The 18,943-nt window shown below is 46.9% G+C and overlaps 5 annotated features.

The window, feature by feature from the left end:
* Window positions 5,296-5,796: an enhancer, noted in NCBI's record as "H3K27ac-H3K4me1 hESC enhancer chr17:66076452-66076952 (GRCh37/hg19 assembly coordinates)". NCBI's record gives its function as "activates a minimal SCP1, AML or CMV promoter by ChIP-STARR-seq in primed H9 embryonic stem cells {active_cell/tissue: H9 hESC(primed)}" and the evidence as "EXISTENCE:reporter gene assay evidence [ECO:0000049][PMID:30033119]".
* Window positions 5,797-6,297: an enhancer, noted in NCBI's record as "H3K27ac-H3K4me1 hESC enhancer chr17:66076953-66077453 (GRCh37/hg19 assembly coordinates)". NCBI's record gives its function as "activates a minimal SCP1, AML or CMV promoter by ChIP-STARR-seq in primed H9 embryonic stem cells {active_cell/tissue: H9 hESC(primed)}" and the evidence as "EXISTENCE:reporter gene assay evidence [ECO:0000049][PMID:30033119]".
* Window positions 11,960-12,535: an enhancer, noted in NCBI's record as "H3K4me1 hESC enhancer chr17:66083143-66083718 (GRCh37/hg19 assembly coordinates)". NCBI's record gives its function as "activates a minimal SCP1, AML or CMV promoter by ChIP-STARR-seq in naive and primed H9 embryonic stem cells {active_cell/tissue: H9 hESC(naive and primed)}" and the evidence as "EXISTENCE:reporter gene assay evidence [ECO:0000049][PMID:30033119]".
* Window positions 12,173-12,232: a silencer, noted in NCBI's record as "silent region_8886". NCBI's record gives its function as "represses an Ori minimal core promoter by ATAC-STARR-seq in GM12878 lymphoblastoid cells {active_cell/tissue: GM12878}" and the evidence as "EXISTENCE:reporter gene assay evidence [ECO:0000049][PMID:35858748]".
* Window positions 15,067-15,116: an enhancer, noted in NCBI's record as "active region_12636". NCBI's record gives its function as "activates an Ori minimal core promoter by ATAC-STARR-seq in GM12878 lymphoblastoid cells {active_cell/tissue: GM12878}" and the evidence as "EXISTENCE:reporter gene assay evidence [ECO:0000049][PMID:35858748]".

An 18,943-nucleotide genomic window follows, 5' to 3' on the forward strand; every position in this document is an offset into this window, starting at 1 on the left:
TGACCTCAGGTGATCCACCCACCTCGGCCTCCCAATGTGCTGGGATTACAGGTGTGAGCCACTTCGCCCAGTCCCCCATCTGCCTGCTTCCCTCCATCCCTCCCTCCCTTCCTTCCCTCCGTTTCTCTCTCTCTCTTTCTCAGGGTCTTACTCTGTTGCCTCGGTTGGAGTACACTGGCATGATAAGGGCTCACTGCAGCTTTGATTTCCCAGGCTCAAGTGATCCTCCCACCTCAGCCTCCCAAAGTGCAGGGATCACAGGTATGAGCCACTGCACCCGGCCTCATATTTTTATTTACAAATATTTTAGACATTTGAAATACTACAGCATTCAGATCTGCTTACAAAATGAATGAAAATGACTGCTTATCAAGAAACTACTATGACTTTGTGACATGACTATAGCAGTCTTATAAGTAAATTTGGAGTAGTTAAGCAGATCTAAAATATGGAGTAACACTTAGGCTGGCCGTGGTGGCTCACAACTGTAATCCCAGCACTTGCAGAGGCCAAGGTGAGTGGATCACTTGAGGCCAGGAGTTCAAGACCAGCCTGGCCAACATGGTGAAACCCTGTCTCTACTAAAAATACAAACAAAAAAATTAGGCAGGTGTGGTGGTACATGCCTGTAGTCCCAACTACTCAGGAGGCTGAGTCATGAGAATCGCTTGAGCCTGGGAGGCAGAAGCTGCAGTGAGCCGAGATCATGCCACTGCACTCCAGCCTGGGCGACAGAGCAAGACTCTGTCTCAAAAAATAAAATAAAATAAAATAAAATAATAAAATAAAATATGGAATAACATTTTAAACCATCATATGCCACTCCAAAGCTCACTTGTTTCCTACAATTAAACATTTGCTTGGCTATAGGAGACAGGGACAAACATTCTTGATGACCACACTGCAGCCTATAAAACTGGATTTCTGACACTGGGCTCCAGCTTCATTTCCTCAGGGTCTTTGTAGGAGGGCAAGCATTTGAACAGTGTCCAGCTCACACTCCCACTATACTGTCCTGAACCTTCTCCTAGGGGCAAATGGTGGAGGCGATATAGAAATGGGCAGAGCAGGCCACAAACTTCAACATAAGATTCTCAATGTGTGTGTGTGTGTTTTTAATTGAGGTATAATTGACATGCCATAAAATTAACCCTTGTAAAGTGTACAATTCAGTACTTTTACTGTATTCACAGAGTTATGCAACTATCACCACTATCTAATTTCAGAAGATTTCTTCATTCCCTAAAAGAAACTGAGCATCTATTAGCAGTCACTCCCCACTGATCCCTTCCTCCCCAGCCCTAGGCAACTGCTCATCTACTCTCTGTGTCTATGGACTTGCCTACTCTGCACATTTTATATACATGGAATCATACTCTCTGTTGTCCTTTGTGTCTGGCTTATTTCATTTAGTGTGTTTTCAAAGTTTATCCCTGTTGTAGCATGGATCAGTACTTCATTCCTTTTTATTGCCAAGCAACATTCCAATGTATGGAGATACCACATTTGTTTATCCATTTGTCAGTTGAAGAGCATTTGGGTTATATCCACTTTTTGGCTTTTATGAATAATGCTGCCATGAACATTTGTGTACAATTTTTTGTGTAAATGTATGTTTGCAGTTCTCTTAGATGAATAGCCAGAAGTGGAATTTCTGGGTCATAAGGTGATATAGGGCAACTCTGTGTTTAAGACTTTGAGAAAGCCATCAACATGGTGAACCCGTCTCCACCAAAAAAAAAAAAAAACAAAAAAACACCCAAAAAACAAACAAACAAACAAAAAAAACTTGGCCAGGCGTGGTGGCTTACGCTTGTAATCCCAACACTTTGGGAGGCCGAGGAGGGTGGATCACCTGAGGTCAGGAGTTTGAGACCAGCCTGACCAACCTGGATAAACCCCATCTCTACTAAAAATACAAAAATTAGCTGGGCGTGGTGGTGGGTGCCTGTAATCCCAGCTACTCAGGAGGCTGAGGCAGGAGAATTGCTTGAACCCAGGAGGTGGAGGTTGCGGTGAGCCAAGATTGCACCATTGCTCTTCAGCCTGGGCAACAAGAGTGAAATTCCATCTCCAAACAAAACAAAACAAAAAAACAAAACCCAAAAAAGTAGCAAGGTGTGGTGGTGCGTGCCTGTAGTCCCAGCTATGCAGGAGGCTGAGGTGGGAGGATTGCTTGTGCCTGGGAGGCAGAGATTGCAGAGAGCCGGGATCGTGCCACTGCACTCCAGCCTGGGTGACAGAGCGAGACTCAGTCTGAAAACAAAACAAAACAAAACAAAAACTTCAGCATGCTTTCAAATTTGTTTTTGAAATTTATCCATAGTGATATATGTGGCTCTCGTTCTTTTTTTTTCAACTGTATGCAACTTGTTTCTCTGGCCTTCTGTTGATGAATATTTGAGTTGTTTTGCAGTTTTTTACTAGTACAGACAGAGTTACAATGGGCATTGTTGTTTACTCCGTTTCGGGCAAGTGTGTGAGCTTATGGTGTATATCCGGAAGCAGAACTGGTGGACTGAAGGATTTGTTCACCACTGATTTTACTAGCTATGGCCAAATTGTTCTTCAAAGTGACTGTAGTAATTTACACTCTGGCCAGCAGTGTGTGTGAGTTCCCATTTTTGCGTGTCCTTGCCAACACTTGCCATTGTCAGTCCTTCAAGCTCTTGCCAAGCTGAGGGATACAAAGTGGTCTTTCCGGGTTGTTTTAAGTTTCATTTCCCTGTTAATGAGTTTGGAGGCTCTTTTCACATGCCCTTGACCATTCTGTGAGTTTCCTTTTAATATCCTTTGCCCATTTTCCACTTGGGTTGTTTGTTATTTTCTTCTTGATTTTATAGGAGTTTAAAACAAATTTTCTGAAAATGAATCTTAAAGTCTGTGGCTTTATTTTCACTGTTGTTATGGCTTTTAAATTCTCCTTCTTGTTTCCTTTATTTCTTTTGGTAAGAAGTTTCTAAAATAATTTTATAGTCTATCCTTTTTGTGTCTTATTTGAGAAACTCTTTTGTATTCTGCTATAAACAAAATCCCTTATATATTTTTTCTACCCATTTTGGAGTTTTGCCTCCACATTTAGGTCTTCAATTCACCTATAATTTGTTTTTGTGTATGCTATGAAGTAAGGATCAAACTATTTTCTCCCATTTGGGTAACTAATTAGGCCAGCACCACTATCTTCTTTTCACTGATCTGTAATGTCTTCTCTGCCATATATTATTTTCATATGGCATGGGTCATTTTCTGGTTATATTTTGTTCCACTGGGTTCTTTGTTTCTCCCTGCACAAATACTACACTTTTTTTTTTCTTTACACTGGATCTGGCTCTGTTGCCCAGGCTGGAGTGCAATGGCACCATCATGGCTCACTGCAGCCTCTGCGGACCTCCTGGCTTAAGGAGTCCTTCCACCTCAGCCTCAGCCTCAGCCTCCCAAGTAGCTGGGATTACAGGTGCACACCACCACGCCTGGCTAATTTTTTGGTTTAGTAGAGGTTTCATCATGTTGGCCAGGCTGGTCTCAAACTCCTGGCCTCAAGTGATTTGCCCGCCTCAGCCTCCCAAAGTGCTAGGATTACAGGCGTGAGCCACTGCACCCAGCTGGATTTATTCTTAAGCCTTTTATAACTTTTGTTGCTATTGTAAATGGGATTTTTTGTTTTTGTTTTTGTCTGAGATGGAGTCTTGCTCTGTTGCCCAGGCTGGTGTTCAGTGGTGCGATCTCAGCTCACTGCAACCTCTGCCTCCTGGGTTCAAGTGATTCTCCTGCCTCACCCTCCTGAGTAGCTGGGATTACAGGCGCCCGCCACCACGCCTGCCTAATTTTTGTATTTTTAGTAGAGACAGGGTTTCACCATGCTGGCCAGGCTAGTCTCGAACTCCTGACGTCAAGTGATCCACCTACCTTGGTCTCCCAAAGTGCTGGGATTACAGGCATGAGCCACCGCGCCCGGCCTGGCCCTCCAATGTTAAATAGAAATGGTGACAATGGGCTTTCATTCTTTGTTTCTGCTCTTAAAGAGAAGGCTTCTACATTTCCATTATTATTTCTCCTGCGTGTTTTGATAGAAAATGTTCATCATGTTAAGGAAGTTGGCAGCTAGTCTAGTTTCCTACGAATTTGTTATTACTGTTTGTTTGTTTGTTTGTTTGTTTGTTTGTTTTTGAGACGTAGTCTCCTCCCTCTGTCGCCGAGGCTGGAGTGCAGTGCTGCAATCTCAGCTCACTGCAACCTCCGCCTCCCGGGTTCAAGCGAGTCTCCTGCCTCAGCCTCCCGAGCAGCTGGGATTAAAGGCGCCTGCCACCATGCCTGGCTAACTTTTTGTATTTTAGTAGAGACGGGGTTTCACTGTGTTGGTCAGGCTGGTCTTGAACTCCTGACATCGTGATCTGCCCGCCTCGGCCTCCCAAAGTGCTGAGATTACAGGCGTGAGACACCGTGCCCAGCCACCCTTTTGTATTTTTAGTAAAGTCAGGGTTTCACCATATTGGCCAGGCTGGTTTCGAACTCCTGACCTTGTGATCCGCCCGCCTCGGTCTCCCAAAGTACTGAGATTACAGGCGTGAGCCAGCGCGCCCAGCCTGTTACTGTTATTTATGAATGTTGAATGTTATTGCATGCTTTTTCTGCTTTTATTAAGATGATCCTGCATCTTTCCTCCTTATTCATTTTCTTTATTATGGAATACTTCAAAAACAGAGAAATAGAGAACAGTACAACAGTTTCAATAAGAGTTGTCAGTCGCAGGCCATAGGAATCAACTTTAGCGGTAAAATGATTCATGAGGAGGAGAGTGGCATCTCTCTGAATTATGGGGAAGACTGGTTCTCTGAACTGTAGATGCTGTTGCTTCTCCTCCCACCTCTCCAGCACTGAATCCTTCAGACTGCCAGTAGCACTGCTGCCCCTGCTCCAGGAACTCTATCCTATGCCACTGCAGGTGGGGCAACTCATGTTCCATTCGAATTAGGGCTGAGTGTTTTTAGTTTTTATTTTTTCATTTTTGAGGCTGAGTCTTGCTCTATTGCCCAGGCTGGAGTGCAGTGGCGCCGTCTCGGCTCACTGCAACCTCTCCTCTCGGGTTCAAGCGATTCTCCTGCCTCAGCCTCCCAAAGTGCTGGAATTACAGGCGTGAGCCACCACTCCTGGCCAGCGGCTGAGTGTTTTTATAGGGCTGAGCCCAGGTCATCTGCTTGTACCCTAGAGATATAGGAAGAAGGTTCAGGTGTTGGGTGACCAAAAGGAAAGATATTTATTTGTCTTTCCTTCCGTGCCTGCTGGATCAATGACATAAGTATCTCCAGATGGCCTGAGGGAAGCCTTAGCTTCCAATTTATCAGACCCATGACCATGGTAGTACAATTCCCTGGTAGAAACAGTCCCCACCTTAGGCACTAGAATATTCAAACTCCCAAATCCAAGGTCATAGTGAGAGGTGACAGCATGCGGGCAGCCCTTGCAGCCCTCGCTCGCTCTCGGGGCCTCCTCGGCCTTGGCGCCCACTTCTGGCCACGCTTGAGGAACCCTTCAGCCCGCCGCTGCATTGTGGGAGCCCCTTCCTGGGCTGGCCAAGGCCGGAGCCGGCTCCCTCAGCTTGCGGGGAGGTGTAGAGGGAGAGACGCGGGCGGGAACCGGGGCTGCGCGCTGCGCTTGCCAGCCAGCGCGAGTTCCGGGTGGGCGTGGGCTCGGTGGGCCCCGCACTAGGAGCGGCCCCCGGCCCGCAAGCCCCGGGCAGCGAGGGGCTTAGCACCTGGGCCAGCAGCTGCTGTGTTCGACTTCTTGCCGGGCCTTAGCTGCCTCCCTGCGGGGCAGGGCTCAGGGACGTGCAGCCTGCCATGCCTGAACCTCCCCGCCACCGCAGTGAGCTTCTGTGCGGCCCCAGCCTCCCCGAGGAGCGCCGCCCCCTGTTCCACCACGCCTAGTCCCATGCACCACCCAAGGGATGAGGAGTGCGGGCGCACAGCGCGGGACTGGCAGGCAACTCCACATGCGGCCCCCATGTGGGATCCACTGGGTGAAGCCAGCTGGGCTCCTGAGTCTGGTGGGGACTTGGAGAATCTTTATGTCTAGCTAAAGGATTGTAAATACACCAAACAGCACTCTGTATCTAGCTCAAGGTTTGTAAACACAGCAATCAGCACCCTGTGTCTAGCTCAGGGTTTGTGAATGCACCAATGGGCACTCTGTATCTAGTTAGTCTGGTGGGGACTTGGAGAATCTTTATGTCTAGCTAAGGGATTGTAAATACACCAATCAGCACTCTGTATCTAGCTCAAGGTTTGTAAACACACCAATCAGCACCCTGTGTCTAGCTCAGGGTTTGTGAATGCACTAATCAGCACTCTGTATCTAGTTAGTCTGGTGGGGACTTGGAGAATCTTTCTTTATGTCTAGCTAAGGGATTGTGAATGCACCAATCAGCACTCTGTATCTAGCTCAAGGTTTGTAAACACACCAATCAGCACTCTGTGTCTAGCTCAGGGTTTGTAAATACACCAATAGACACTCTGTATCTAGCTAATCTAGTGGGGACATGGAGAACTTTTGTGTCTAGCTAAGGGATTGTAAATGCACCAATCAGCACCCTGTCAAAACGGACCAGTCAGCTCTTTGTAAAACAGACCAATTGGCTCTCTGTAAAATGGACCAATCAGCAGCATGTGGGTGGGGCCAGATAAGAGAATAAAAGCAGGCTGCACAAGCCAGCAGCGGGAATCTGCTTGTGTCCTGTTTGATAGTCTGGGAGGTTTGTTTTTTTTGCACTTTGCAGTAAGTCTTGTTATTGCTCACTGTTATGGTTTATGTTGCTTTTATGAGCTGTAACACAAAAGTTTGCAGCTTCACTCTTGAAGCCAGTGAGACCACGAACCCACCGTCAGGAGCGACCAACTTCAGTTGTGCAGCTTTAAGAGCTGTGACACTCACCGTGAAGGTTTGCAGCTTCATTTCTGAATCAGCGAGACCAGGGACCCACCAGAAGAAAAAAACTCCAAATGCATCTGAACATCAGAAGGAACAAACTACGGACAACTCCGCCTTTAAGAACTGTAACACTCACCGAGAGGGTCCGCGGCCTTATTCTTGAGGTCAGTGAGACCACAAACCCACCAATTCTGGACACAATAGGGATGGGCAGCAAGAGTTTAGGTGTAAGAGTGAGAGCAGCTACTTCTTCATCCTGTTTCCTAGATGTACGCTTTTTTTTTTTTTTTTTTTTTAATGAGACAGTCTTACTCTGTCACAGGCTAGAGTGTGGTGGTGCGATCTTGGCTCACTGCAACCTCTGCCTTTCAGGTTCAGGCGATTCTCCTGCCTCAGCCTCCCAAATAACCTGGGATTACAGGGGTCTGCCACCATGCCTGGCTAATTTTTGTATTTTTAGTAGAGATAGGGGTTCACCATTTTGGTCAGGCTGGTCTCAAACGCCTGACCACCTGATCCACCCCCCTCGGCCTCCCAAAGTGCTGGGATTACAGGCGTGAGCCACCGCGCCTGGCCTCTAGATGTACACTTTCTAGTTATGAAGGTGACAACTCCAAATGTTAGCATGTTTTAAAAGACATAACTATCCTGTAGGCCAACACTTGAAGCCCACGGGGTGTCGTCTTTAGGCTAACCCTGTAAATTAACTTTCAGCAGCTATTTCACCGCTTTCTAAGCCAGCTGCTTCTGGGTGGTGGAACTTCACGTCTCTATTAAGTCCAACTTAGCCATTGTAGATTATTCATGCCAACTCCAAAGCCCAAACCTGGGTGAGTGTATCAGTGAATTCAGCCCAATCAAGCCTTTTATTTTATTTTTGAGACAGAGTCTCACTCTTTCGCCCAGGCGGGAGTGCAGTGGCACGATCTGTGCTCACTGCAACTTCTGCCTCCTGGGTTCAAGGGATTCTCCTGCCGCAGCTTCCTGAGTAGCTGGGACTACAGGCATGCATCCACCACCACACCTGGCTAATTTTTTGTATTTTTAGTAGAAACAGGTTTCACCATGTTGGCCAGGATGGTCTCAAACTCCTGACCTGGTGATCTGCCCGCGTCAGCCTCCCAAAGTGCTGGGATTATAGGCGCAAGCCTCTGCGCCCAGCCAAGCCTTGTATTTACCATCTTTCGGCTAACAATGCTTAGAATCCACTCCCACACGTGCTCCCAAGAGCGTTGTGGATTTGAATTGGCAAGGTCTTGGAACTACCTTAGTGTATAAACATTCTCTTTCTAGAGCAGGCCTTGTACTGCCCAAGTGGGCTATGTTGGGATCTAACTCTCTTTTTGAAGCTGGAGGAATGAAGAGAAGATCTGGAGTCCCTTTTTAGTGAAGCAACTGTCCTAGGTGCAGTCACAGAAGGTCCCTTAGGCAGGGATAAGTTGGTTACCTCTACACGGGAGGACTTACCTGAACAGACAGGATTTGAGAATTCAAAAGTGCCAAAGTCTCAGCCTTGTCTGTGACCATTTAGATGCTCCTATTCTAAGTCTCAAGGTCCCACTACGTCCCCACTATGCCCTTTCCTAAGCATTTATTTGGAGCTCTTACATGCACAATGAGGCCCTGGACTGAGTCTTCCATCATATCCACCCTGAAAGTACAGGAGATGAAGTCTCCTTCTAAGATGCCACCAAACCTTTCTTGCTGTCTATTGCATTCTCAGTTCAACATTAACAGCTTTTTTTTCTTTTGAGATGGAGTTTCACTCCTGTTGCTCAGGCTGGAGTGCAATGGCATGATCTGGCCTCACCGCAACCCCCGCCTCCCGGGTTTAAGCGATTCTCCTGCCTCAGCCTTTCGAGTAGCTGGGATTATAGGCACATGCCACCATGCCTGGCTAATTTTGTATTTTTAGTAGAGACAGGGTTTCTCCATGTTGGTCAGGCTGGTCTCGAACTCCCAACCTCAGGTGATCGCCTGCTTTGGTCTCCCAAAGTGCTGGGATTACAGGCATGAGCCACCGTGCCCGGCCTTTTTTTTTTCCTTTTTTTTTGGAGACAGGATCTCACTCTATCACCCAGTAGAGTGCAGTGTTGAGATCTCGGCTCCCTGCAAGCCTCCACCTCCTGGGTTCAAGTGATTCTCCTGCCTCAGCCCCCCAAGTAGCTGGGACTACAGGCACGAGCCACCACATCCAGCTAATTTTTGTGTTTTTTTGTAGAGACTGGGTTTCGCCATGTTTCTCAGGCTGGTCTCGAACTCCTGATCTCAAGTGATCCACCCACCTCGGCCTCCTACAGTGCTAGGATTACAGGCATGAGCCACTGTGCCAGGCCCTCATTCATAGCTTTTGACTTTTCCTTTTCCCTGTGTAATCTCTCCAGTGCTGTTGAGAGAGGCCAAGTGACTCTATAATCTTTATACTGACCATCACTGTCACAGTGTCTAAGTGCCCAAGCCATTCCAAATCCCAGTGCCTTATCCTCTATACCTACCCTTCATCCCATGCCACTGCTGATAATTTGTGTGATTTTAATGCCACTGAATGCCATTGATTGCACTTGACCCATTCCATCCCCACTACACATTTTCCAGGATTCTATTTTGAGGGGATGTCCTTCGTTGTAGTAACCCCTGCTAATCTGAGATAAATCTTACTTGATCATTTTAATTTTTAAAAATTCCCTAATGAATTCACTTTATATAAATATATATAATATGTGTGTGTATATATATATATATATAGTGTGTGTGTATATATATATATATATATACTATTTAGGATTTTAAAATCTTTGTTCTTATTTATTTATTTATTTGAGATGGAGTTTCACTCTTGTCGCCCAGGCTGGAGTGCAGTGGTGCGATCTCGGCTCACTGCAACCTGCCCCTCCCGGGTTCAAGCAATTCTCCTGCCTTAGCCTCCCAAGTAGCTGTGATTACAGGCATGTGCCACCACATCCAGTTAATTTTTGCATTTCTTGGTAGAGATGGGGTTTCACCATGTTGGCCAGGCTGGTCTCAAACTCCTGACCTCAGGTGATCCACCTGCCTTGGCCTCCCAAAGTGCTGGGATTACAGGGGTGAGCCACTGCACCAGGCCTTTTTCTTATTTTCTCACCAATTTAAAGAAGGGTTTCCCCAAGTTGCAATTAATTTTGGCAGAAATGTCCCTGTATTGATGATTATCTTTTTGTGAAAGTTGATGGAGTTTGTCTTCACACTCTTGTCCTTTTTTTACTCTTTTTTTGAGACAGAATCTCACTCTGTCACCCAGGCTGGAGTGCAGTAGTGCTGGTGCAATCTTGGCTCCCTGTAGTCTTGACCTCCCAGGCTCCCTCTGCAACCACCTGAGTAACTGAGACAACAGGTGCATGCCACCACGCCCAGCTAATTTTTAAAAATATTTTTTGTAGAGACGGAGTTTTGCCATTTTGCCCAGGCTGGTCTCAAACTCCTGGGTTCAAGTGATCTGCCTGCCTCAGCCTCCCAAAATGCTGGGATTACAGATGTGAGCCACCATGCCTGACCATCACTCTTGTCCTTGATATCCATTTTTTCCCACCGACAACACCATGGGAATGTTTTCCTATTCTTTTTCCAGACTTCTAGGCCACCTAGTTTTAGTTTTCTAAGTCAGTGGAGCCCAATTTTTGCACAGGACGATACTCCTAGAGAAAGTCATTCCTTTGCATGGTGTGCTGGGGTAATGAACCTGCTCCCTGTGGCTAGAGACACCCATTATCTCAGGTCTGCCTGAAGGGCCGAGGGGAGCAACCTCTTAGGCTCACCTATAATCCATTTGCCCCCAGATGTGGCTCTTATGACTACATTCCAGTGTGTAAAGTGTGAGAAGAAATGATGTATTCAGCCACTGGGCTGTGCCCTTAGAGGAAATGCATGCCTTCCCCTCCCTTTTATTGCCTCTGCAGGCTGCAATGTGGCCACAGTGTGGGGAGTATTGAACTATACAAGCAACAAAATAGAGTCTGAATCCCCAGCAACTAAGAACTGCTAACAGAGAGATAGGAAGTTTGGGTGTGACACTGGAGTCAGGCAGCCTTGGGTTTAAATGCTGATTCTGCTAATCCCTAGCTGTGGGCCTCGGGTGAAGAATTTAACCTCATGGTCTTCAGTTTCCTTAGCTGTAAAATGCTGGGAGGATGCAAGGAGCTGTCATAACAAAATTGCCTAGCAGTGTTCATGGTCCAGAGCAGGGTTTTAACGAACAGAAGCTGGCACGTCACCACTCTCTGTCCCTAGCAGCGTTGCCTTTTGCCTCCCTTTTCTGCCTTGATCCGCGCCCCCACCCATCTCTCCTCCCGTTCTTTCTTCACTTTCACTTCCTGGTCTGCCTCTTTCTTAAGCTGGACTCTGTGACTGCAGGTGTGTTTAATGTTTGGCTGCCTTCAGGAGGCCAGCAAGGCTCCCTGGCCAACCTTTTACTTTTTTTTTTTTTTTGAGACGGAGTCTTACTCACTGTCACCCAGGCTGGAGTGCAGTGGCACGATCTCGGCTCATTGCAACCTCTGCTTCCTGGGTTCAAGTGATTCTCCTGCCTCAGCCTCCCAAGTAGCTGAGACTACAGGTGCTCACCACCATGCCCGGCTAATTTTTGTATTTTTAGTAGAGAAGGGATTTCACCTTGTTGGTCAGGCTGGTGTCAAACTCCTGGCCTCAAGTGATCGGCCCACCTTGGCCTCCCAAAGTGCTGGGAATACAGGCAGGAGCCACCATGCCCCACCATGGTTCCCTGGCCAACCTGTTACTCATTCCTCTTTCTTCTACAATGATGCTTCTCCACCACATCAAAAGGTCCTCTCCTTTCCTCTTCCACAGCCATTGGCTGCAGGGAAATCCCCAGGGGCAGAGCTGCAACTTGCCAGGCCAGCCCTGGAGGCAGCCCTGGGACCCTCTTGCTCCCTCAACCTTCTCCCTCTCCTTTCCCGGGAGGCCCAGGAAAGGGAGCTGGCACCCTGGGCCACTGAGCCAGCGGCGAGGCTCAGCCAGCAGGAGGAGAGCAGCGGATCAGGACTGCCTCAGACCTTTGATAAACCAGGTCTTGGAAGAAGGCCACTCACTCTTCTCTGTGTTTCTCTGTGTGCTGGTTCCTGAGATTTGCAGGACATGTTTAATATTTGCATGGAGAATCTATGAAAAGAAAAACAGAGAGGGAAGGAAACAGGAACCAAAATGCCACTTATCCCATGAGGGCATCGAGGCCCGGGCTCTGAGTCTCTCTGTTGCTGGCGGGGGCCAGGCTTCCTGTGGTGGGAGCGGCAGGCCTCGCTTCTCAGGCGTGGGTTCCACCACGGCTTGAAGGCCCCAGACCACCTCGCCCCTCCCTGGGAACTCAGCCTCTTGTGCAGCCACATAAAGGTAACCAGTGTCTGGTGGCTTGATAGGACAGACTTGTGAGGGACTTCCTGCCTTTTGATGCATGCCATTCCTGAGAGCTGGGCCGGGCCTCTGAAGAGGAGAGGTCCCTTTCAACTTCCTGAGTGTCTCAACGTTCAGACTCTTGGGGTTTGTGGTTAGAGACACTGGTATGAAAATTGTGTTCTATAAAGTATGCCCTCCGGGTCCCATAAAGCTAACAGGCAAAGCTCTGTGAAAACACCCCCTAACCAAATGGACCAAGAGGGTCTGAAAAGCCCTTGACCTTGGAGCTTTTTTTTTTTTTTTTGAGAGAGGGTCTCGCCCTGTCGCCTAGGCTGGAGTGCAGTGGCGCGATCTCAGTTCACTGCAACCTCTGCCTCCTGGGTTCAAGCAATTCTAATGCCTCAGCCTCTGGAGTAGCTGGGATTATAGGCGCACGCCACCACGCCTGGTTAATTTTTGTATTTTTTTTTTGTAGAGGCAGGGTTTTGCCATGTTGGCCAGGCTGGTTTTAAACTCCTGATCTCAAGCAATCCACCCACCTCAGCCTCCCAAAGTGCTGGGATTATAGGCGTGAACCATCTCGCCCTGGCCCCTTGCAGCTTTAGTGAAGAATGAGTGAAGGACTGGAAAGTCTGGCAGTATGAGGGGATCTGCCCGAGGGAAACTGTGTTAGCAGCAGGACCCTTCTGCAAAGCCACCCCTGACTCCACTCCAGTACTTTGGAGCTGCCTTCAAATAGAATATGATTCCAACAGCACTCACAGTTGCTAAGGGCCAGACAGACGTCACTGCATTCTTTTTCTTTTTTAATGTCATGTATTTTTTAAGACAAGGTCTCACTGTCACCCAAGCTGCAGTGCAGTGGCACCATCATAGCTTACTGCAGCCTCAACCTCCCAGGCTCAAGTAATCCTCCCCACTCAGCCTCCTAAGTAGCTGAGATTACAGGTGTGCACCACCACACCCAGCTAATTTTTAAATTTTTTGTAGAGATGGAGGTCTCTCTATGTTGCCCAGGCTGGTCTTGAACTCCTGGGCTCAAGCGATTCTCCTGCCTTGATCTCCCAAAGTACTGGGATCACAGGTTTGAACCACTGCACTCGGCCTCATCGCTGCATTCTAATCCTCTTCTCACAGATGGGGAAACAGACTCAATGAGGTTGAGTGACTGCCCCAAGAGCACACAGAGGTAGGATTGGAGCTCAGAGCTGGCTGACTCCAGATCCAAGATCTTTATGCTTCACCAGACTGTTCCCCACAAGACTATAGGGTGTCAGCAAGGTTGAAAAACACAGGACATACACGCTTGCTCTCTCCGCTATTAATTACCTGGCTGAAGTAGTGTTTGTCAGTTTCTCCACTGTAAAGTTACTCTTTTTTTCCCCATTTTCCATACCATCCTCTTTGGTCATTCACCATGTACAACCCATGTATAAAGAGTGGGAGTTAGGAGGTGGAGTATCTACCGAAATTATCTGGAACACTACATGGGAGATTTGTCTTTTGTCTCTATTTACTTATTTACATTTATTTTTAAAAGTGTATGCTACTGACATTTTCAAATATGCTCATTATGTTTTCAGGCAAAGTATCTTTTTTTTTTTTTTTTTTTGAGATGGAGTTTCATTCTGTCTCCCAGACTGGAGTGCAGTGACACAATCTTGGCTCACTGCAACCTCCGCCTCCTAGGTTCAAGCGATTCTCCTGCCTCAGCCTACTGAGTAGCCGGGATTACAGGCACCCATCACTATGCCTGGCTAATTGTTGTGTTTTTAGTAAAGACGGGGGTTTCACCATGTTGGTCAGGCTGGTCTTGATCTTCTGACCTCAGGTGATCCGCCTGCCTCAGCCTCCCAAAGTGCTGGGATTACAGGTGTGAGCCACTGTGCCTGGCCCTGGGCATCTTTTTAAACTGCAGGCACTGATTCAGTAGGTCTGAGCTGGGGGCTGAGACCTAGTACTTGTCTAATAGGCTTCCTCTGAAGCCAGGCTGCAATTCTGCACCACACTTTGAGGAGCAGGTTCAAGACCAGTGTATCTTCCGCCATTTCAAACTACTCAAAAATCCTTTCTCCTGTTTCAAGGTCTGTCTCAGTATAATTCCAACTGCAGCCCCACTACACTGGTCCTGGCTACTTCCTGTAGAACCACATGGAACAAATTTAATTGACCTGAACTTGATAGCTTACCAGGTAACATACCAGGTATGTTAAGGCAGGTAGCTGTTAGGGTCCCCTGAGTTTTCTTTTCTTTTTCTTTTTTATTTTTTTTGAGACAGGGTCTCACTCTGTCGCCCAGGCTGGATTGCAGTAGCACAATCTTGGCTCCCAAGTTCAAGTGATTCTCATGCCTCAGCCTCCCCAGTAGCTGGGATTACAGGCATGCGCCGCCACCTGGCTAATTTTTGTATTTTTTAGTAGATATGGGGTTTTGCTATGTTGGCCAGGGTGGTCTCAAACTCCCAGCCTCAAGCTATCTGCCCACCAAAGCCTCCCAAAGTGCTGGGATTACAGGCGTGAGCCACCGCGCCCCGCCCCCTGAGTTTTCTTTCTCAGCTTCTCCAAACATTCCTTGAGGTACGTGACTTGAAGTCCCTAAGCACTTTGATTCCTCTCCTCCTTGTCCCATTTACAGTAAAGCACCCAGAACTGAAAGTATTGCTTGTGGCGTGGGCTGCTGGGCTGCTGGCAGCAGGTCACCATCATGTCCCTCATCCTCAGTGCAATTCTTTGGCCAAGAGCCCATGTCACTAGGATGACTCATACCGAGCCCATTGTCAACTAAAAGCCTGAAGTTGTTTCTACAGAGGCTGTTCTTGACTCACACCTCCCTCAACTTCTACTTCAGCAATTGATTCTTTGGATCCAAGTAACCCTAGGAACCACTGTTAAGCTCCAGTTTTCTCACTTGAATTTGGCCTGGGGTTGTTCCTGACGACATCAGAGAGAGGTGCTCTGACCACAGGAACGGGGCAGTGTTGAGTTAGGGAACCCCTCTATCATTAGGACCAGTATGAAGGTGTCATTGCTACTTGCAAATCACATCTTTATCTGCTTCATTTAGGGATCCTGCTATTGACAATTACACATCTTTAAAAGAAAGACTCTATAGCAGTTGACGATAATGAGAAGTTATTAGTTTTAGTTTATTGAAGTGACCCTTCTAACTCTGTAACCACTTATCTTCCTCTTCCCATTCATCTACTATGAGGTGATATAATATGTGATATTACCAATATAATTCTAATCTATGCTTTTTGTGGAAAATTCAGAAAACATAGAAGTTAAAGATGAAAATTTGCCTGCCAAGGTGGCTCACCCCTGTAATTACGGCACTTTGGGAGGCCAAGGCAGGAGGATCACTTGAGGCCAGGAGTTTGAGACCAGCCTGGCCAACGTGGCAAAACCTTGTCTCTACTAAAAATACAAAACTTAGCCTGGCATGGGGGTACACACCTGTAGTCCCAGCTACTTGGGAGGCTGAGGCAGGAGACTAGCTTGAACCCAGGAGGCGGAGGTTGCAGTGAGCCGAGATTGTGCCACTATACTCTAGCCTGGGCAACAGAACAAGATTCCGTCTTAAAAAAAAAAAAAGTTGAAAATAAAAATCTCAGATGATGCCATCATCTAGTGACAACCACTGTTGACATTTGGTATATTTCTTTTATATTTGCATATTTTATCTTACTAATACTCAGTATCTTAACTGTTTTAACGATAGATGTTCATTATAGAAAAAAGTGGAAAATACAAATATGTCAAAGAAGAAATAGAAATCCCCATGGTCCCATTATCTAGAAACAACCCTAGTTACACTTGCATGTGTTTCCTTTAAGATGTTTAAATCGGCCAGGCGCAGTGGCTCACGCCTGTAATCCCAGCACTTTGGGAGGCTGAGGCAGGTGGATCACCTGAGGTCAGGAGCTCGATACCAGCCTGACCAATATGGTGAAACCCTGTCTCTACTAAAAATACATAAATTTGTTGGGCGTGGCGTGGGTGCCTGTATTCCCAGCTACTCGGGAGAGGCTGAGGCAGAAGAATTGCTTGAACCTGGGAGACAGAGGTTGCAGTGAGCCAAGATCACACCACTGGACTCCAGCCTAGGTGACAGAGTGAGACTCTGTCTCCAAAAAAAAAAAAAATAAAACTTTAAATCTGCCTATATGGTATATTTTTCTGTTAAGAGGTGAATTTATACAGTAATACTATATCATAAAGGTTTTTTCCACTTAACAGCATGTTGGAAGCATGTTTTAGAGAATATTTAGTGAACTGACTCTATGTTTTTACATTGTGAAGATTTACTCTGTAAGACTATTATTTCGCCTCTATTTAGAGAAAGTTGCTTGTTTTGGCAATTGCTCTTTTGTTATGAGAATTCACATGAGCCAAGTTCCACTTTCAGAAATGCTATGGGCAAAGCTTCATGATGTTTATGAATTCATACATAAAGACTATAAATTTCAGCCAGGGGCAATGGCTCATGCTGATAACAGCTACTCGGGAGGCTGAGGAAGGACAATCGTTTGAGGCTAGGAATTAGAGACCAGCCTGGGTAACACAGCTAGATTCCCCGCTGTCTTCCCCTCTAAAAATAAATACATAAATAAATTAGTGTGGTGGCATGCACCTGTAATCCTAGCTACTAGGAAGCCTGAGGCAGGGAGGATGGTTTGAACCCAGGAGATCGAGGCTGCAGTGAGCTATGATTATGCAATTGCACCCCAGCCTTGGCAATAGAGAAAGACCCCACTCTCTATTTTTTTAAAAAAAGGCTGTAAATTGGCCGGGCGTGGTGGCTCACGCCTGTAATCCCAGCACTTTGGGAGGCCGAGGTGGGCAGATCACAAGGTCAGGAGTTCAAGACCATCCTGGCTAACATGGTGAAACCCTGTCTCTATTAAAAATACAAAAAATTAGCCAGGTGTGGAGGCGGGCGCCTGTAGTCCCAGCTACTCGGGAGGCTGAGGCAGGAGAATGGTGAGAACCCAGGAGGCGGAGCTTGCAGTGAGCCGAGAGGGCGCCTGTGTACTCCAGCCTGGGCAAGAGTGAGTGAGACTCCATCTTAAAAAAAAAAAAAAAAAAAACTGTAAATTTCTGAATGAGTTCTTAAGATGAAATACATCTTACTTGTGCCCACTTCCTTTTCTTAGAAATTAACTCCAAAGGCCAGTCACGGTGGCTCATGCCTGTAATCCTAGCACTTTAGGAGGCCAAGGTGGGTGGATCACCTGAGGTCAAGAGAGTGAGACCAGCCTGGCCAACATAGTGAAACCCCATCTCTACTAAAAATACAAAAATTAGCCTGGCGTGGTGGTGTGTGCCTGTAATCCCAGCTACTCAGGAGGCTGAGGCAGGAGAATCACTTGAACCTGGGAAGCAGATCTTACAGTGAGCCGAGATCATGCCACTGCACTCCAGCCTGGGCAACCGAGCAAGACCCCATCTCAAGAAAAAAAAAAAAAAGAAAGAAATTAACTCCAAAATGTTTTCAATGCCTACATACAATATTTAAACTGTGTGCTTTTTAAATTTTGTTTTGATTTTTTGAGACAGGGTCTTACTCTTGGTGGTGTGATCTCAGCTTACTGAAGCCTCCATTGCTGAGCTCCAGTGATCTCCTACCTCCGCCTCCTGGAGTAGCTGGGACCACAGGTGTGCACCACCACACTCAGCTAATTTTTTGTTTTGTTTCATTTTGAGACAGAGTCTCGCTCTGTCGCCAGGCTGGAGTACAGTGGCGTGATTTCAGCTCACTGCAACCTCTGCCTCCTGGGTTCAAGCGATTATCCTGCCTCAGCCTCCCAAGTAGCTGGGACTACAGGCACCTGCTACCACATCCAGCTAATTTTTTTATTTTTATTAGATATGGGGTTTCACCATGTTGGCCACGATGGTCTCCATCTCTTGACCTCATGATCCGCCCGCCTTGGCCTCCCAAAGTACTGGGATTACAGGTGTGAGCCACCTTGCCTGGCCCACACTCGGCTAATTTTTTGAATTTTTTGTATTTTTTGTAGTGACGGGATTTTGCCATGTTGCCTTGGCCTCCCAAAGTGCTGGGATTACAGGCGTGAGCCACCACGCCCAGCCTTTAAACTGTCAGTGATAGCAGCGAATGAGTTCAAATGAATTCAGAAAAAAGACATATGGATTAGACCACAATGGTTTTTTTTATTTTGTTTTTTGTTTTTTTTTTTTTGAGACGGAGTCTCGCTTTGTTGCTCAGGCTGGAGTGCAGTGGCTGTGATCTTGGCTCACTGCAACCTCCACCTCCCAGGTTCAAGCAGTTCTCTGCCTCAGCCTCCCGAGTAGCTAGGATTACAGGCCCATGCTACCACACCCGGCTAATTTTTGTATTTTTACAGTCAGGGTTTCACCTTCTTGGCCAGGCTGGTCTCGAACTCCTGACCTCGTGATCTGCCTGCCTCGGCCTCCCAAAGTGCTGAGATTACAGGTGTGAGCCACTGTGTCCAGCCAGTGCCATATTTTCTACTATCCTGGTAAAGTAGATATTTGTACCAAACCCTATCAAACTTGAAATGAATGGAATGTTCTTAATTTTCAAGGTGCTATTTTTTTTTCTTTTTTTTTTGAGACAGAGTCTCACTTTGTCACCCAGGCTGGAGTGCAGT

Source organism: Homo sapiens, chromosome 17, assembly GCF_000001405.40.
Source record: "Homo sapiens chromosome 17, GRCh38.p14 Primary Assembly".
NCBI lineage: Eukaryota > Metazoa > Chordata > Mammalia > Primates > Hominidae > Homo > Homo sapiens.